The 16,627-nt window shown below is 54.7% G+C and overlaps 1 protein-coding gene across 15 annotated transcripts in view; it reads right to left on the bottom strand.

The window, feature by feature from the left end:
• The window catches only part of IQCE (IQ motif containing E), a 55,750-nt gene that overhangs the window by 5,575 nt on the left and 33,548 nt on the right, over positions 1 to 16,627 (bottom strand). For 10 of the 15 annotated variants that reach the window (XM_047420081.1, NM_001287499.2, XM_011515242.2 and 7 more), the window contains 7 exons: positions 16,028 to 16,132; positions 14,178 to 14,268; positions 10,522 to 10,689; positions 7,690 to 7,713; positions 4,163 to 4,273; positions 3,157 to 3,278; positions 1,599 to 2,030 (listed from right to left, as the gene is read on the bottom strand). In XM_047420081.1, coding sequence (XP_047276037.1) covers positions 1,787 to 2,030; positions 3,157 to 3,278; positions 4,163 to 4,273; positions 7,690 to 7,713; positions 10,522 to 10,689; positions 14,178 to 14,268; positions 16,028 to 16,132 — 865 coding nt within the window. In that variant the 3' untranslated portion in view covers positions 1,599 to 1,786. Of the gene's footprint in view, positions 1 to 1,598; positions 2,031 to 3,156; positions 3,279 to 4,162; positions 4,274 to 7,689; positions 7,714 to 10,521; positions 10,690 to 14,177; positions 14,269 to 16,027; positions 16,133 to 16,627 lie in introns of those variants that run through there. The other 5 variants (XM_017011902.2, NM_152558.5, NM_001410865.1 and 2 more) reach the window with 1 other exon arrangement.

Here is a 16,627-nt window from a genome sequence, read left to right as displayed (position 1 = left end):
ACGCCACCTACAGACGGGATGGAGGTGGGTACCAGAGCTGAAGAAGGGACGGGTCCTACCACAGCAGCAGCCCCAGAGCTCCTTGCCGGGGAGCCTGAGTGTCGCTGCCTTGAAAGACGAAAGTAAAAAAGTAATGAACTGCTCATGTGAGATTTTAAAAAGGGAAGGAAATGGCAATTCGGCCATGCCGCAGATACTGTAACTGTGTCAGCTTTTTTTTCCTGCAACTTTCAAGAAAATTCATATTAAAGGGGAACCTTATGAAATTAAAAACAGCTTTCATGGTTATCTTCAAAAACAACCAATCAGCTCAAACAAAAGCTTGATTTATACTTTTCACAGAGACATTTCCTTAGGTCAATAAAGCTGAATCCCTGGGTCACGGGGATGAACTTGCGTCTTTAAAATCACTTGCGTTGAGCAAGAGAAAAGGGCAGCATCAACGCACGCTTTAGCCCTGATCAAAGCCTCTAAAGGTCACCAAAGGCAGGGTCTGGCGAAGCCGGTAGAATCGGCTCCCGGAGAACAACTGAAAGCCTTTTGCAGAGCCCACGAGTCACAGGCCGGCCCGACCGCTTTGCGTGTCTGTACATTCTCCCCGAAACCCCAGGCTGCTCATCTTTGTGTTGAGCTTTACAAATGGAAGTTTTGGAGAGAATATCAAAGTTCAAAGTTTTCTAGCTCTGACGAAACTAGGTTAAAAAATGAAAATAAAATGTGATTTCATACGTGGTATTTCCAGGTCAAACGTGGTATACGGTTCTTAGCTCGTGCAGGAGACTCTCTAAAACACAGCCCCTAGCGGGACCCCCTGGGGAGGGAAGGCTCTCGGGCTCCAGGTCTGATGCGGGCCTCAAAACGGCCTCTTCCCAACTCCGTGACTCCGCGTCAGCACAGGAGGGATCTCCCAGGAAAGCGAGGCCTCCGCCCGCCACGGGCCCCCACACTTACTGGAGTGGTACTGGGGGGCTGCCGGCTCCCTGGGCCCGTCCTGAAGGGACATTCAAATTAAGGCATGTGGGTCCTGGGCAGGCCTCACCCTTCCTTCACCCCCTGGCCTTCCTCACCCTCACCCTTTGGGCTCAGAAGAGCCTCTTCCTTTGTGGTTTTCCTTGCTGTTCTCTCTCCTCCTTCCCTGACTCCACCCTGGAGACCTAAGGACTCAGCACAGCAAAGCCCTTCGCCTGACACTTCCCACGTGAAACAGCCCCGCACGCCACACTCCCCTCCTCAACAGGGTCTTAAGGCTGCCCTTCTCCATCTCCCGACAGTCCCGAGTCTCAACAGCGTGCCTCCGCACTCATCTTCCCTTTACAGGAGGTGTCAATGGGGGGTTTCTAATTGCAGGATAAGACACGGGATCTCAAGTCCACGCAGAGCAGCATAGATTTGGGGTGGAGAGTGGCTTTCCAGCTGTCTAGCCCGTTCTCTACTTTAAACATGAAGGGACTGACGGCCAGAGAAAGGCAGGGCCTGCTGGGGCATCCCCGTCAGCTCCGGGCAGAGCAGGGATGAGGCCTCACACCAGGGTGTGGCATCCTGCAGTGCCAGCGGCTTCTTCACTGACTGTTTTTGGACTTTAACAAAGTAGAAAAGGAAACAATAACACGGTTTTACTCAACAAACAAACAGGAGAAATGCTGGCCTGAAGGAGGAAGCCACCTCGGTCCTGTTGGAGCTGAGAGCAAAAAATAAAGACAGCAAGGACCTCGGCAATTCCAGGCACAAAGGACAAGCTGGGCCAAGGCGGGGCCCTGTTGTGGGCCTTCCTGGCATAAGGCGACGCTTAGTTCAGAGGCAGCTCCAGATGGGACACTCCTCCCTTCCGTCCCGACACAGCCCGGGCTTCCTGGAGGTGGCCACTCTTTGGCTGAGACCTCAGCAGACCAGCTGCCCTGGTGCCAGAATCCAAATGAATGAAATTACCAGGAAGAGCTGCGAGGAAGGGTGGGGAGGAGGCGTCCCCGTGTGTGGCTGAAGCCGATCTCCTCCTGGTAGAAGCTGCGGTGGTGGTTCTTTTACCGGTAGCACTGGAAAAAAACAGAAAACGCCAGCTGATTCTGCTTTTAGAGAGTACAAACCTCTCTGAGGTTTACAGCAGCCTCAGTAATTTGCTTGGAGGCAAGTATTCCAATGAAAGCAAACACAGAGCCAGTCCCGAGCCCCACGACCAGCGCTGTACCCAATATGCACCCAGGGTCCAGAAACGTCCGGCGGTGAAGAGCCTCAGACACGTCCCCGTCCATCTCCTCGGGGACCATGCTGAGGTCAGGCCGGCATGGTTTTATAAGCTGGCCTCAGACGGCTCCGTTCCCTGTCTCCTGTCTGGGTCAGCCCAGCTGCCATTCCCCGGGGACATGCTTGCAGGCTGCATGGCCCTCCACCTCCTGGCTGGGGCTCGCCGCCCAGGGATGGGTCCCTGACTCCTGAGCCCACAGTGTGTCCCAGGTCACATGGGGTCAGGACCATGAGATGCAGATGCGGCCTTGGAGGGAGAAACTGCCCACTCGGAAGTGCTGGGTGGCCGCGCGGCTCCACCACAGAGGCTGAGAACCAGAGCAGTCTGTGATAAGAGGGGAACAAACCCCATGCGGGGTGAAGCAGACGGGGGTGACGGAGCGGGGCCGTCTCTTCCCCTTACTGTAAACTCCCCCCGGCCAGGCTCACTTCAAGGGGTTTTGATTTCTGCAACCGAGAGTCCTAGCAAACCCACCAAGAGGCCTGTGGGAACGCTGCCATCTAGACCCTGCACGCGTCGCCTGTCATATGCCGTGTCCAACACGGAGGTCACAACACAGTTTTCTTTCACAGGGATGACCTATCAGCACAGCCAAAAGCCAGGCCACAGACTGATGGTGACCTGAGCTACACGGTGTGTGAAGCTCCTCTTCTCATCTCCTCCCGGTAGGGAAGAAGCGACTCTGGAAAGGCCTCCCCCGAGGATCACACCTTCCAGCCCACTCCACGTCCGTGGTGCAGCAGGGAGTCCTCAGGATGTGAAGCCTTTACTCTGGCTCCAAACCGAGGTCCCGCTGGCAGGCGGCAGGCGCTGCTCCAGTTTCCGCCACATGCCCTGCACCCAGTGCTCCGGGCCCAGTGCGGTGGGCAGCCTCTCGTGCCATGTCTGTGTCCCACGTCCCCGTGACCCTGACTCACCTGTGCCTGGCCCGGGCCAGGTGTGCCCGCAGAGCGGACTGGATGATGACGATGGCCTCCTCCTGCACAGGGCTGCCCGTGGCCTGGGCGATGGGGCTCGGAACGCGGGGCACAGGAGAGCTCTGGGGTGCAAGGACAGCAGGGAAGACGACTGTTTGGCAGCCCCCTGCTGGCTCCCAGCACTCAACCCCCAGGGCACCCTGGGCGTCAGGGAGACAGGAAGAGCTCAGTTTCCTTTTCAGATGGCCCTGCCTCCCGGGAATTGCTGGTCAGTGAACAGCCTCCTGGTGGCAGGTTCTGAATTTTTAAACTGTAGGGATTCTTATTTATCTATTTATTTATTTATTTATTTATTTATTTACTTATTTATTTATTTTTGAGATGGAGTCTCGCTCTGTTGCCCAGGCTGGAGTGCAGTGGCGTGATCTCGACTCACTGTAAGCTCCGCCTTCCGGGTTCACCCCATTCTCCTGCCTCAGCCTCCTGAGTAGCTGGGACTGCGGGCGCCCGCCACCACGCCCGGCTAATTTTTTGTGTTTTTAGTAGAGACAGAGTTTCACCATGTTAGCCAGGATGGTCTCGATCTCCTGACCTTGTGATCCACCTGCCTCGGCCTCCAAAAGTGCTGGGATTACAGGTGTGAGCCACCGCGCCCGGCCTACTATAGGGATTCTTAAACAAAAACCTGGTCCTCAATACAGAGGAGGGGCCGCAATGGCCTGCATCTGTCTTTAGTAGTTTTTAGCTACATCTTCATGGAGCTACTTGACTCTCCGGCAGCTTAACGCAATCTGGCCCTAACGCCACATCCATCCGGGGCCTGTGCAGAGGGGCCTGCGCAGAGAAGCCTGCATGGCCTGCGTGGCCAGGGATGGAGCGCAGGGGACGCCTGCTGGGCGGGCGGGGATGTGGAGGCTGAGGGGTGCCCTACGCTTTCTCGATGGATGGAGTGCGAGACGAGCAGCTCTGCAGATGGCCACTGGGACGTCCAGCACCCCGACATTACCTGGTCTGGGAGGCCTGGCACGCTGGGTGGCTCTGAGCCATGTGCTTTGCTTGCTAAGAGCTTTGTCCGCGTGAGATGTCCCCTGAAAGCTGCCTGAAGCACCACAGCCGCCTGTCAGGGAAGGAAGCAGGGAGAGAAAAGTGGGTGTGAGTGCCCGGGGCAACGGCGGGCGAGAGGGAGGCGCCGAGGAGAGAGCTGCCACGGCAGCAGGGAACGTGACTCCCTTCACTGCTGTGCAGCCACGTTCTCTCAAAGAGCCGTCCGTGCTCCCACTCACCCCAGTCTGGGAGAAACTCACTGGCGCCCCAGGGAGCTGACAGGGCATGGCACCTGTCAGCACAGTGGGGACTCTGGGAATGGCAAGGTGCCCGCTGCTCACTGCAGTCCCTTTCAGCGGCTAATAGGAGCTGGTATTTCACACATGGTTAGGTTTTCATGTTGGAGCGTTTTTTCAGGTTGGAATAGTTTATTGGTTTCATCTACTTTCCATAGATGTCTTCTAAATCAAGCAAGGGGCCACAAGACCTCTGAAGTGATCTTAAGAGAATTATTTATCCTGAAATGATTTTCTTAGGCTATGTGGCTGGGTGCAGTGGTTCATGCCTGTAATCCCAGCACTTTGGGAGGCTGAGGCAGGGTGATCACTTGAGGCCAGGAAATTCAGATCAGCCCGGGCAACACAGCAAGACCTCGTCTCTACAGAAAATTAGCTGGGCACGGCACACACCTGTCATCCAGTGCTTTGGGAGGCTGGGGTGGGAAGATCCATTGAGCCCAGGAGTTTGAGACCAGCCTGGTCAATATGGTAAAAACCTGTCTCTACTAAAAATACAAAAATTAGCCAGACGTGGCGCGCATGCCTGTAGTCCCAGCTACTCAGGAGGCTGAGGCATGAGAATCGTTTGAACCTGGGAGGCAGAGGTTGCAGTGAGCCAAGATTGGGCCACTGCACTCCAGCCTGGGTGACACAGTGAGACTCTATCTCAAAAAAAAAAAAAAAAAGACAGGGAAGCTCCGTAAGAAGTTCACACTCCATTTTCGGGGAAGCACTTATTTTTGAACGATCTGCCTCTAGCCCTGTGAACCCTCCCAGCCTGATAGATGGGCATCTCTCAAACTCGTTAGAAGAATGACAAGCATGCCCACCGAGCCCCATGCCACGTGAGTTTAGCAGGCTTGCCGCTGTTGGAACAGAAAGCACCTTTGTTTTGTCTTAAAGCTAGGGTGGGAAAAGAGCTCAGCAAAGGAGGGCGAGGCAGCGCCGGCTATTAACGGTGAACGACCCGCCAGAGTGTGGTGACCATGTGGAGGCTGCCCAGAAGCTTCCGGTAAAGTGGCTGCCAGGTACGGGAGGCTCTGCACCAGCCGGAGGGGTGAGAGGGGCACGCATCTCCGTCACGCCACACACTGCGCACACACTGGCAAACCCCACGCTCACCACAGCCCCACACAGGCAGCCTCACTGCTGTCTTTACTTAGAGACGAGGCCCCTGAGGCATGGGGGGCGCCAGGGAGAGAAGCAGGATGGGGAGACGGCACCCACCACTGACTGGCCGATCGGACAAGGAGCCCGGATCCCCTCACCCGCTCACTGGAGGGCATTTACCCCATGCCTCCCACATGCCAGGCGCCAGTCTAGGCACCAGAGGTGTGGTGGCAAAAAGACAGAGCTTGCATTCTGACGGGAGGCTGGCAAGAATAACCACAAAGTGAGATGCCAGGCAGGGGCGTGTGCTAGGAACCGCAGCGGGCTGTGGGGACCGGGAGCCTGGGCAGGCTGTGGTGGGTGGACAGGTGGGAGGCTGACATGCTGGAGACCTCGGGATGAGGGCCTGAGGGCTGCTGGAGGATGGGAGGGACTGTCAGAGACGGGGATGTTGGAAGTTGCCATTGCAGATGTGTGAGATGGGTATGGACAAGGGTGTGTCTGTGGGGCAGGTCTAGGGACCAGGAGGCCAGGCACGGAGGGGCTGCAGAACCGAAGGCTGAGGACTAGGGCAGTGGCGAGCAGGGGTCCCTTCCTCAGGGGCAGTGTGGTGGGCCAGGTGGGCAGTCCAGCTGTCTGCTCGTGGAGGGCGCTCGTGTGGCTGTGGCCTGGCCATCAGATGGCAACATGCTCCCACTGCAGCTGCGCGCAGGCCACTGAGCCTGGTGTGCCGCCCACACCCGCGACCATACTGGCTGTCCTGACTGCAGAGTATGAACCCCGTGCAATTTGGACAGTGTCTGGCTGGTCTGTTACAAGCTCCTCTGGTGCCCGGCACATGGCAGGAGCCCAGCAAACACTTGTGGATGAGTAATGTGGCCAAGGGGAAGGGGACATGGGTGGGGCAGGGGGAAGTCAAGCCCCGCCCTGACGGCAGAGCTGTCAACCCTGCTGACATCAGATGCACCTGGGGAGTGTGAGGACAAGCGGGTGCTGAGTCTGCCCTGCCACTTAGAAGCAGCTGTGGGTGAGGAGGAAGGCAGCGTGAGAAGCCCTGTGGCCCAGCGCCAGCTCTGAGTGACTGAGGCGGGGTCCTCTCCTGCAGTCTAAGTGGAAATACACTGCTGTCCCTGAAGGGGCCCTAGAGGAGAGGGGAGCATCTCAGAGGCCACCAGGACTCCAGCAAAATAAAGATCTCACTTTCTAGCTCCTCCCTAAAAAGGGTCATGGCTGGAACTGCACTGTTCATCAATCTGTCAGTTCTCAGCTGTGGGTGACATACTCAACCTCCATTCCAGTTCCATGCCCTGGCCCCGTCTCAGACTCCTTGTCCCACCGGCTCTGCTGGGATGCCCTCCCCTCACTTCCCGGTCCAGTGAGCTCTGATGTATCCTGCGAGGCCCACCTTGCATGTCACCCCTCGCAGGGACCTCCTGGCCTTTGTGTGCAGGGCTGGCCACCCCCAGCGCCACCCCGGGCTGTAACCACTCGTTCACTTGTGTGTTTGAGCCTTTGCGTCCCAGGGCCTCTGAGACTGCCCCACGCAGGGCTGGTGATCAGTGAGTGTGCATGAAAAGAATGAATGAATGGAAGGAAGGAATGAATGAAGAGATTTTGAAAGTGGGAAATTATCGAAATATTTATTTGATGTCTCTATTTCTCATGTATTTTATACTTAACGTTGGGGTCTGGTTTGGTTTCATGAAAAGAAGGACTTGCCGGGCGCGGTGGCTCACGCCTGTAATTCCTGCACTTTGGGAGGCCAAGATGTGCAAATCACCTAAGGTCAGGAGTTGGAGACCATCCTGGCCAACACGGAGAAACCCCGTCTCTCCTAAAAATACAAAAATTAGCTGGGCACAGTGGTGCATCCCTGTAATCCCAGCTACTAGGGAGGCTGAGGCAGGAGAATCGCTTGAACCCAGGAGGCGGAGGTTGCAGTGAGCCAAGATTGCACCACTGCACTCCAGGCTGGGCCACAGAGCGAGATTCCATCTCGAAAAAAAAAGAAAAGGAATCAACACATCTTTAAATATCCCCTCACCTACTTTTCAACAAAATACAAATCCGAATTTTGAAACAAGAAATAAACCTCGCTTACCTCATCCAGAACAGCCTTTTTTTTCTGGAAAAAAAAAAAGAAAGAAAAAATACATGAATTAACACGAGAAGGATGAATGTGGTTTTGATTCCTTCATCTTGCCAACAGGTGTCCATCAAGCCAACAAGAGGCCTGGCTGCCCTGGCTCCTCCCTCCCGAGCTGCCGGGACCCAGCAAACAAACGCCTTTGTAAGGAGGACGAAAGTGAGAGGCAGAATTAGGATGGCGGGAATTCTCCAGGAGTCACATGAGGTGGCCCAAGCTGCAGATGAAGGGACGTCTCTGTGCCGTGTGCCAGTCCCCTGGCTGTGCAGAAGGGACTCCATTAGGCCAAGCTGTGCACCTATGGAGGTGGATGTGGGCCCAATGTGAGAGCTCTCTCACAGCACAGGTGTCCGGACCACTGTGCTCTCTGGATAAGCCCCAGAACTCGGAGGCTGAGGCTGCCTGCTGGGGACGTTATGAAGGGGACTTTGGTTCAGGGGTCTGGATCACTGGCCCCACCCTGACTGGTCATCAGTCACCCTTGGGTGTCTTGGGAAGTTTCTCAGGCTGCAGCTGACACGCAGCGTCACAATCAGTAGAGAGGGTCCCTCGGAGCATGTGTTCTTATAGATGTGAGCGAAGTCCTCCCCAGATGTTGATGCCAAGTTAATCAATGTGCACTTAATGGCACGGAATGACCACCACGGCCGGATGACAGGTACATCAGAGTGCACGTCCCACATTTGTACTACTGTACACAGGATCTTTCCCTTGGGAGATTAAGGAGGAACTGAGTACAAGGACCAGCAGAATATACGATGGAAGCAAAGAAATATATACACTGAATAAGAGTGAGACAGACAGACAAGCCAGCATCTGCTTAGCACCTAAAGGGAAGTCACTAAGTTTTCTCCCACGCTTTCGGGAGGACGAGGAGTTGGCCCCGCTAATAAGGAAACTGCTTTTCAGACGGAGACAGCTGTGACGGGAAGGACACTAAGACCACAAGGGGAAAGGTGGTGGGGACAGACCTCAGGGAGCTAAACTCTCCCCTGTAGACTGCCGGCCAGTTACCAAGGGAAACTCGTTTCTTTAAAATGGCGAAAGCCAGCAGCCATGGCCAGGTTAGAAACACAAACAGGGGCCGGCCTGGTCCATCCACGTCCCGAGGGGATGGGGTACACAGCCTCGACGTGAGACATTCTTGCCAAAAGCAAACCCGGGTGAATCAGAGCTGGAGACCTTATTTCTCATTTATGGGAAATTAAGGGGACAGAGGAATAAGTTTATGACCCCACAAGGAAACAGATCCAGGAAAGGGAACGTTCTGTAACACATTGGCCTGCCCATTGCCAAAGAAAATGTCTTTGAAAAGAAAAAAAAAAAGGCCAGGCACAGTGGCTCACGCCTATAATCCCAGCACTTTGGGAGACCAAGGCAGGTGGATCACCTGGGGTCAGGAGTTCAAGACCAGTCTGGACAACATGGTGAAACCCTGTCTCTAATAAAAATACAAAAATTAGCTGTGCATGGTGGTGTGTGCCTGTAGTCCCAGCTACTGGGGAGGCTGAGGCAGGAGAATCGCTTGAACCTGGGAGGCGGAGGTTGCAGTGAGCTGAGATCCCGCCACTGCACTCCAGCCTGGGCCACAAGAGCGAAACTCCATCTCAAAAAAAAAAAGAAAAGAAAAAAAATCTAGGTGTGGTAGCTCACACCTGTAATCCCAGCACTCCGGGAGGCGGAGGCAGGTAAATGGCTTTAGCTCAGGAGTTCAAGACCAGCCTGGACAACACAGCAAGACCCGTCTCTACAAAAATTGGCCAGGTGTGGTGGTGCCTGCCTGTAGTCCCAACTACTTGGGAGGCTGAGGCCGGAGGACTGCTTGAGCCTGGGAGGTCGAGGCTGCAGTGAGCTGTGATTGTGCCACTGCACTCCAGCCTGAGTGATGGAGTGAGACCCTGTCTCTATGAAAAAAGAAAAAAAAGGCCGGGTGTGGTAGCTCATGCCTGTAATCCTGGCACTTTGGGAAGCCAAGATGGGTGGATCACCTGAGGCCAGGAGTTCGAGACCAGCCTGGCTAATAAGGTGAAATCCTGTCTCTACCAAAAATACAAAAATTAGCTGGGCGTGGTGGTGAGCACCTGTATCACAACTACTTGGGAGGCTGAGGCAGGAGAATCACTTGAACCCAGGAGGCGGAGGTTGGAGTGAGCCAAGATCATGCCATTGCACTCCAGCCTGGACAACAGAGCAAGACTCTAACTCAGAAAAACAAACAAACAAAATCGGTCAGGGTGAACTGTTGGTTAAAGAAAAGAAAGGGTGGGGGCTGCTGTGAACCACACTAAGGAGACGTAACCAACCGACCCCCAGGCTCCGATGGGATGTGGACTGAGAACCGCCGTGACCGAATGCTGGCGGGAAACAGATAGCGGCAGGCGGCATATGGGGACATTTGGGAAATGTGAATAGGAAGGGCCGTTAGGTGAGGATGTAAAACTGCTGGCAGCCCTAGGTGCAGTCACGGTGCTGTGGTCAGGTAGGAGAAGACACTTTTTCTTAGAAGATACATGCCGATGTTTCATAACGTCTAAAACTTACTTTCGAATAGTTCTGGAAGAAAACTGGATGGAAAGAAATCTGGCGAGTTATCCACTACTGCACAAAACGCACCCAGAACGGAGGTGTCAGCGTGTGAATGAGGTTTTCATTTTCTGTATGTTACGGTGCTCAGACACCTGGGGCCTGGCTGGCCCTCCAGGCCCAGTCATTCCTGGAGAGTGAGTGGCTTGCCTTGGAGCACGAAGACTCACAGGGAGCAGCCCGGGTCGCCCCGGGGAGCCTCACCTTGTGCTTGTACACCTTCCACTGGGCCTGCAGGACTCTGGCCGCGGCGTCTCTTCTCCCATCAGAGCAGGGGGAGCGGGGCCGCGGGAGCCCCTCCTCGCTGGAATCCGGCGGCCAGTCTTGCTCGCAGTGCCTGCTGCTGGGAGTGGGAGCTGGGAGCTCTTGGGCCTGCAGGAAATTGAAGGAGTAAGAGGACAATGAAGCCAGGGCAGGGACAACCAGTATCCGGCAAGGGGACAGGATATTACCCGGCATGGTGCGGCTGCGCTTATCAGGTGAGTCTCACTAATGTGGAGGAGAGAGCTGTTCCACACTGGTCTGCAGACCACATGACAGCGGTCTCTTGTACTGCTGAGAGACAGCGTCTAGGCGAGCACACAAGTGCAGACGTGCTTCTCATTAAACTCCCTTAACTCTGTCTGGCAGTGCCTCCTGGGAGGGAGAGAGGACGCTTCTTCACACGGCCGTCACACACTCACTACACTCAGTCACATTTTGTTCCTGCAAGAATTGTCTGTTTTTCTGGGGTCCTTTTCTGTTTTCTAGTTTAATACTCTAAATTATAAACATGGGATTTCTGGGATTGATATATATTTCTAGCATGGTTTTTAAGGTAGAAACAAGCCAGGATTGCTATAACGACCATTGAAATAACCATGATTTCAGGCTGGGCGCAGTGGCTCATGCTTGTAATCCCAACAATGTGGGGGGCCAAGCAGGGAGGATCCCTTGAGCCCAGGAGTTCAAGACCAGCCTGGCCAACATAGCGAGACCCCATCTCTATGAAAAAATTTAAAAAATACCCGGGTGTGGTGGCACACCACTGTGGTCTCAGCTACTCGGGAGGCTGAGGCAGGAGGATCGCTTGAGCCCAGGGGTCAAAGCTGCAGTGAGCCATGATTGTGCCGCTGTAGTCGAGCCTGGGCAACAGAGTGAGACCCTGTCTCTAAAAAGAAAAAAGAAAAATTATGATTTCTAACACTGATGACTCCAAATGTATCATCCATAGGACACTACCCAATACAAATGAAAAGGCCTCTCGTGTCAAGAATGCAAGCTCGGTGGAGAGCACGCTGTTGCTGAAAGCCCTCCCCGGAGGGAGACACAAGACTGCTCCCAGTGCACACCGGGCCAGGCGCCAGGCGCAGGTGGCCTGTCCACAGACTTCAACAAACACAGAACGGCTTGCTCTGGCTTTTCATTTTCTGTGTGTTAACGATGCTTGGGCATCTGGGGCCTTGCTGCCCCTCTGGGCCTGGCCAATTCCTAGACAGTGAAGGGCCTGCCTTCGGGCACGGCCATCCTATGCGAGCAGCTAATCTGGTGCCCATACTCAGAATCGCCTCCTGTATTGGGCCCCACACTCCAGAAGGCAGTGTTTCTCAGCCTTAATCACCCAGGGCCAGGTGCGGGACAGCTGAAGACCACCCTGTGGCCCAGATCCTGCTGAAATTCTTCAAGCTTCCAGCCCGCCGGCCCTAACCAGCCGGCTCACCTCACCTCGCCCTCTCCTTCTCATGATAAAGGCCCTGGCCCAGGTCTTCCGCACGACCCTGCCGCCTCCTGGCCGACGCGCCGCTCCTGCGTGGCCTTGCGTGCCCTGCCTCCTGTTTCTAGGGACCTGGGAGTGTAATCTTCCTAGGATGGTCACTTGGGTGTCTGCACATCTTAACATCCCTGACGAAGATGCCCTGGGTACATCCACACAGCCAGCTGTTTCCAGATCTCTTTAGCTGTGGCAACAAGTTGCTTGGCACCAGCATTCCGGCCCTTGGCTTCCACATTCTGATTTTGTAACCCTAAGAAGAGCCTCATCTTCCCTCAGTCCTGACACATTTTCAGGCCTCTGTTCCGCTAAAGTGAGATCATCTGTTAGTCCGCGGCCTGTGCCAATGTGATCAGAAAGGAAAATCAGCTTCTCCGAAGATAAATGAACATTTACTCACACAACTACAGACAGCTAAAAAAGTCTAAATTTTCACACGCTTATAAATTCCTTGAGGCAACTCTTAAACCGACTCTCCTCACTCCATTTAACCTACAATTAATCATTCCCATGTGAATGCTGAGAGCTGATCCCCTACTTGGAGAGCTGATCACTCAATTAATCCCACTCTTCCTTTTCTCTAAAATAGAAATGTTTCCTGAGTAGGAAAATAACACAAAGCTAATACATGCTTATTACGAAAAATTCAGACAATACTAAAAGAAAGTAAAAAAAAAAAAAAAAAAATGCTTATAACCCCACCACACAGAAAAGGCTGTATTTCAATAGTGTTTTCAGACACTTTTGTTTTCTCTCTCTCTCTCTCTCTCTCCTCTATTTTCAGACCTTTTTCTTTTCTCTTTCTCTCTTTCTTTTCTTTTTTTAGTGAGAAAAGGGTCTGGATCTGTGGCCCGGGATGGAGTGCAGCAGTGCTACCTTGGCTCTCTGCAGCCTCCACCTCCTGGGCTCGAGCGATCTTCCCACCGCTGCCTCCCGAGCAGCTGGGACCATAGGTGGTGGCTTCTACTGGTTTTATCCATGAGCTCCTCTTAGAGCAAACTGCAGCCTCAGGATGGTGACACCAAGTTCCTTGCTTTTCGTCTGAACATGCATGGGCTCACATCTGCCTTCTGAAGGATCCTCCTACCCACTGGAAGGGGATTTGTGAGGACGCCCTTCTACCACCAGAAGTGCAAGTGCAGGCAGCGCCGGCCATGGTGAGCAGAGCATGGCTGCGACCCTCCAGGGAGGCAAGTACAGCACCGGCCATGGTGAGCAGAGCATGGCTGTGACCCTCCAGGGAAGCAAGTGCAGCACCGGCCATGGTGAGCAGAGCATGGCTGCGACCCTCCAGGAAGGCAAGTGCAGCACCGGCCATGGTGACCGGAGCATGGCTGCGACCCTCCAGGGAGGCAAGTGCAGGCAGCGCCGGCCATGGTGAGCAGAGCATGGCTGCGACCCTCCAGGGAGGCAAGTGCAGCACCGGCCATGGTGAGCAGAGCATGGCTGCGACCCTCCAGGGAGGCAGCAGAGAGCCAGGGACCTCGGAGCCACAGAGACGCCGCCGCGACTAGCTGCCCCCGGGTAGCGTCCACACACGCTGAGGGAGTGGAGAGGCAGGAGAGCATCCATCTAGGGTCCCTGCTCACCTGCCGGGTCCCTGCTAACAGTCACTCCACGTTCAACCCGTGCACAGCTGAGTGACGGCAGGGAGGGCACAGGAAGCCCCACCCCACCCAGAGGGCAGTGCCCGCTGAGGCTTTGCCAACTTGTGTTCTGGAACTTAGATGAGAGGAGAGGACGCATGCCCAGGTCCATGCAGGGGCCTGGTTGAGCCTTCGTCCTTTCCCCCCAAGCCCCTCCTGCCTCTCAGTGACAGCTCCGGCCGCATAACTACACCCTCCGCATGACCAAGATTTGGAAAACTCTTTACTCACCAGCCTTGAGACTCAAATATCAGTTCGAGAAGTCAATTTGCTGACAGTCAATTAATCCAAAACCCGGACTTCGATACACACGACATGAGTTATAGAAATCAATGGTGATGATAAAGGGGAGTGGGATTTTCAGTGGCTGGTCAGAAAAAACTCTGGACAGGGAAACGGTCAGAACCGTCACGACCAAAGTCTCACCGCACCTGACGGGAGACTCAACTGAATGGTCACTGTACCTTATGAGGAACTTCCGGGCAATCCTCTTTCTCTTCTTTCTTCATTTCTTGCAATTCTTGGAGCTTGCTGGTAAGTGTCTGAATCTCCTCTCTAAGGCGGAAAGGGAAAAGATGAGACACCTCACCTGTCACTATGTGATGAAGGCCGGCACAGGGCAGGGTGGGGCGGGCGGTCCAGGCGGAGACAGGGGGACACCAGGCAGCCTGTAGAGAGCTGGTGGGGCCATGTCTCCCTGAGCCACAGGGCTCCAGCTATGACCTGACAACACCAGAAACCATCGCAGGCCGGGACTTCCTGTTGTCTCCTGCTCTGGGCTGGAAGCCCCACGAGGCCGTGGCTGAGGACCCCCAGGGCCCAGCACCTCTCCTGAAACAACTAAGAACTAAAAAAAGAATCCGTTGTGTGAATGATAAGTAAGTAGGAGGCCAGGCCGGACGCCTGTGATCCCAACCCTCTAGGAGGCCAAGGCCAGAGGATCGCTTGAGCCCAAGCATTTGAGATAAATAAGCAGGGACCACTGACCACTGGGGTTTTAGTAAACAGTATGAACAGAAGGCATTGCAATTTAGATATTCATTCCAGGTACTAAAGGCAAAACAAAAAAAAATTCATTTCTGCACATGTGCCCTTTCAGATTTACTTTAATTCAAGTCTTCTGACAGAATTCAGTCAGATTTCTCCTGAAAATGAAATGTTTTCTTTTTTTTTGTTTGTTTGAGACAGAGTCTCGCTCTGTCACCCAGGATAGAGGACAGTGGCATGCTCTCTGCTCACTGCAACCTCTGCTGCCCGGGTTCAAGCTATTCTCCTGCCTCAGCCTCCCAAGTAGCTGGGATTACAGGCACCTGTCACTGTGCCCGGCTAATTTTTGTATTTTTGGTAGAGACGGGGTTTCACCATGTTGGTCAGGCTGGTCTTGAACTCCTGACCTCACGATCTGCCCGCCTCGGCCTCCCAAAGTGCTGCGATTACAGGCATGAGCCACTGTGCCCGGCCACAGTTTTCTTCATTCCGGTAGTCTATGTCTTACTAATTATTCTGAGTGCTAAATATGTCTGCTCAGATTTCTAACCTAGTTTTTTGTGCATTTTAAAAAGTTAAGACTCATCACATAGAATTCACTATTTTAAAGGGTATAATTCAGTGAATTCTAGCATCTTCACAATGCTGTGCAGCTACCACCCCTCTCTAATTCCAGAACGTTTACATCGCCCCAGAAAGGAAGCCATGCTCGTCAGCAGTCCTCGCTCCCCTCCCAGCCCCTAGCAGCAGCACTTGTCACGTGGGTCCGCCCGTTCTGGACATTTCCTGCGCAAGGAATCGTGTGCTACGCGGCCTTTTGTGCCTGGCTTTCTTTGCCGAGCACCAGGTTTTCCAGGGTCCCCGGGCCGGGCCGGTCAGGGCTTCCGTCCACTCTGCGCCTACGCGTGGTCGACCTCAGGGTGTTTGTCCACCAGCAGTTGATGGGCCGTGGGGTGGGCGCTGCTTCCTGGCTCTCGCGAATGGCATTACTGTGAGGGCACGGGCGGCCCCTCTTAAGGATGTGGCCCACACCTGGGTGGTTCTGACCAGAGGCCAGTGTGACAGCTGGTTGGGAAGGGGCAGGTGCTGGCACAGCCAGAGCAGAGGACGCCCCTGAGAGGTGGCCACGATGCCAGAGGGCAGGCCCTGCTCAGCACCAAGAGGTTAGTCCCGGGCTGGGTGACAGAAAACCATGAAAGACTGTGAGGAGGTGTGGCCTTTCTAAGAAGCCGGCTGGCAGCAAGGCTGAGACGCCACGGGGGGCCGCAGTGGTAGCAGGAGTGCGGACTCGCCTGGGTCCTCTCCAGCCCTGACCCGGGTCACATACCTCAAAACCTCCTCTCGCTCTCTCCTCTCCTCCTCGCCCTCCCTCGCGCACTCCAGCTCCTTCTCCAGGTCGGCCTTCGCCTGCAGGAGCTGCTTCACCTCCAAACTGCACACAAGAATAGGAGACTCGTCAGCGTTCACAAAAACTGTAGGTTATGTCAGAGCAGGAAGGCACTTCAGAAAATGACAGTGCTCAGCCCTTCCTTAGGACAGTGGATGGTGGGGCAGGAGGAGCACAAAAGGCCCATTTCTAATCACACATTGCCAAGGACAGACCTCAGGGCTCTGCCTGCCCTGAACCGAGCACCTGCTGTGTGCAGGGGATCAACCGGACTAAGCCAGAGAAGGCCCTGCCATCAGGCCATAGAATGAGGAGTTGCCCCTCCAGCCGCCACTCATTGGCACGGACCTCGCACCCGTGTGAGGGTGCTGCAGGCAGGCGCGGGGTCCGTGAATGGGGCAGGGGCCTGCCCCGCCTAGACCGTGGCACTGCCTGTGCGGGGCTCCAGCTGAACTGCTCCCAGATGCGTTTCTTGCGTCCCATGCGGTGTGATGGCCACACACTGGCCTTCGACGGAGACTTCTGTCCGAGTCTCAGATG

This window comes from Homo sapiens, chromosome 7 (genome assembly GCF_000001405.40).
Source record: "Homo sapiens chromosome 7, GRCh38.p14 Primary Assembly".
In the NCBI taxonomy this organism is placed as follows: domain Eukaryota; kingdom Metazoa; phylum Chordata; class Mammalia; order Primates; family Hominidae; genus Homo; species Homo sapiens.
This window is presented reverse-complemented; position numbering and strand designations above follow the sequence as displayed.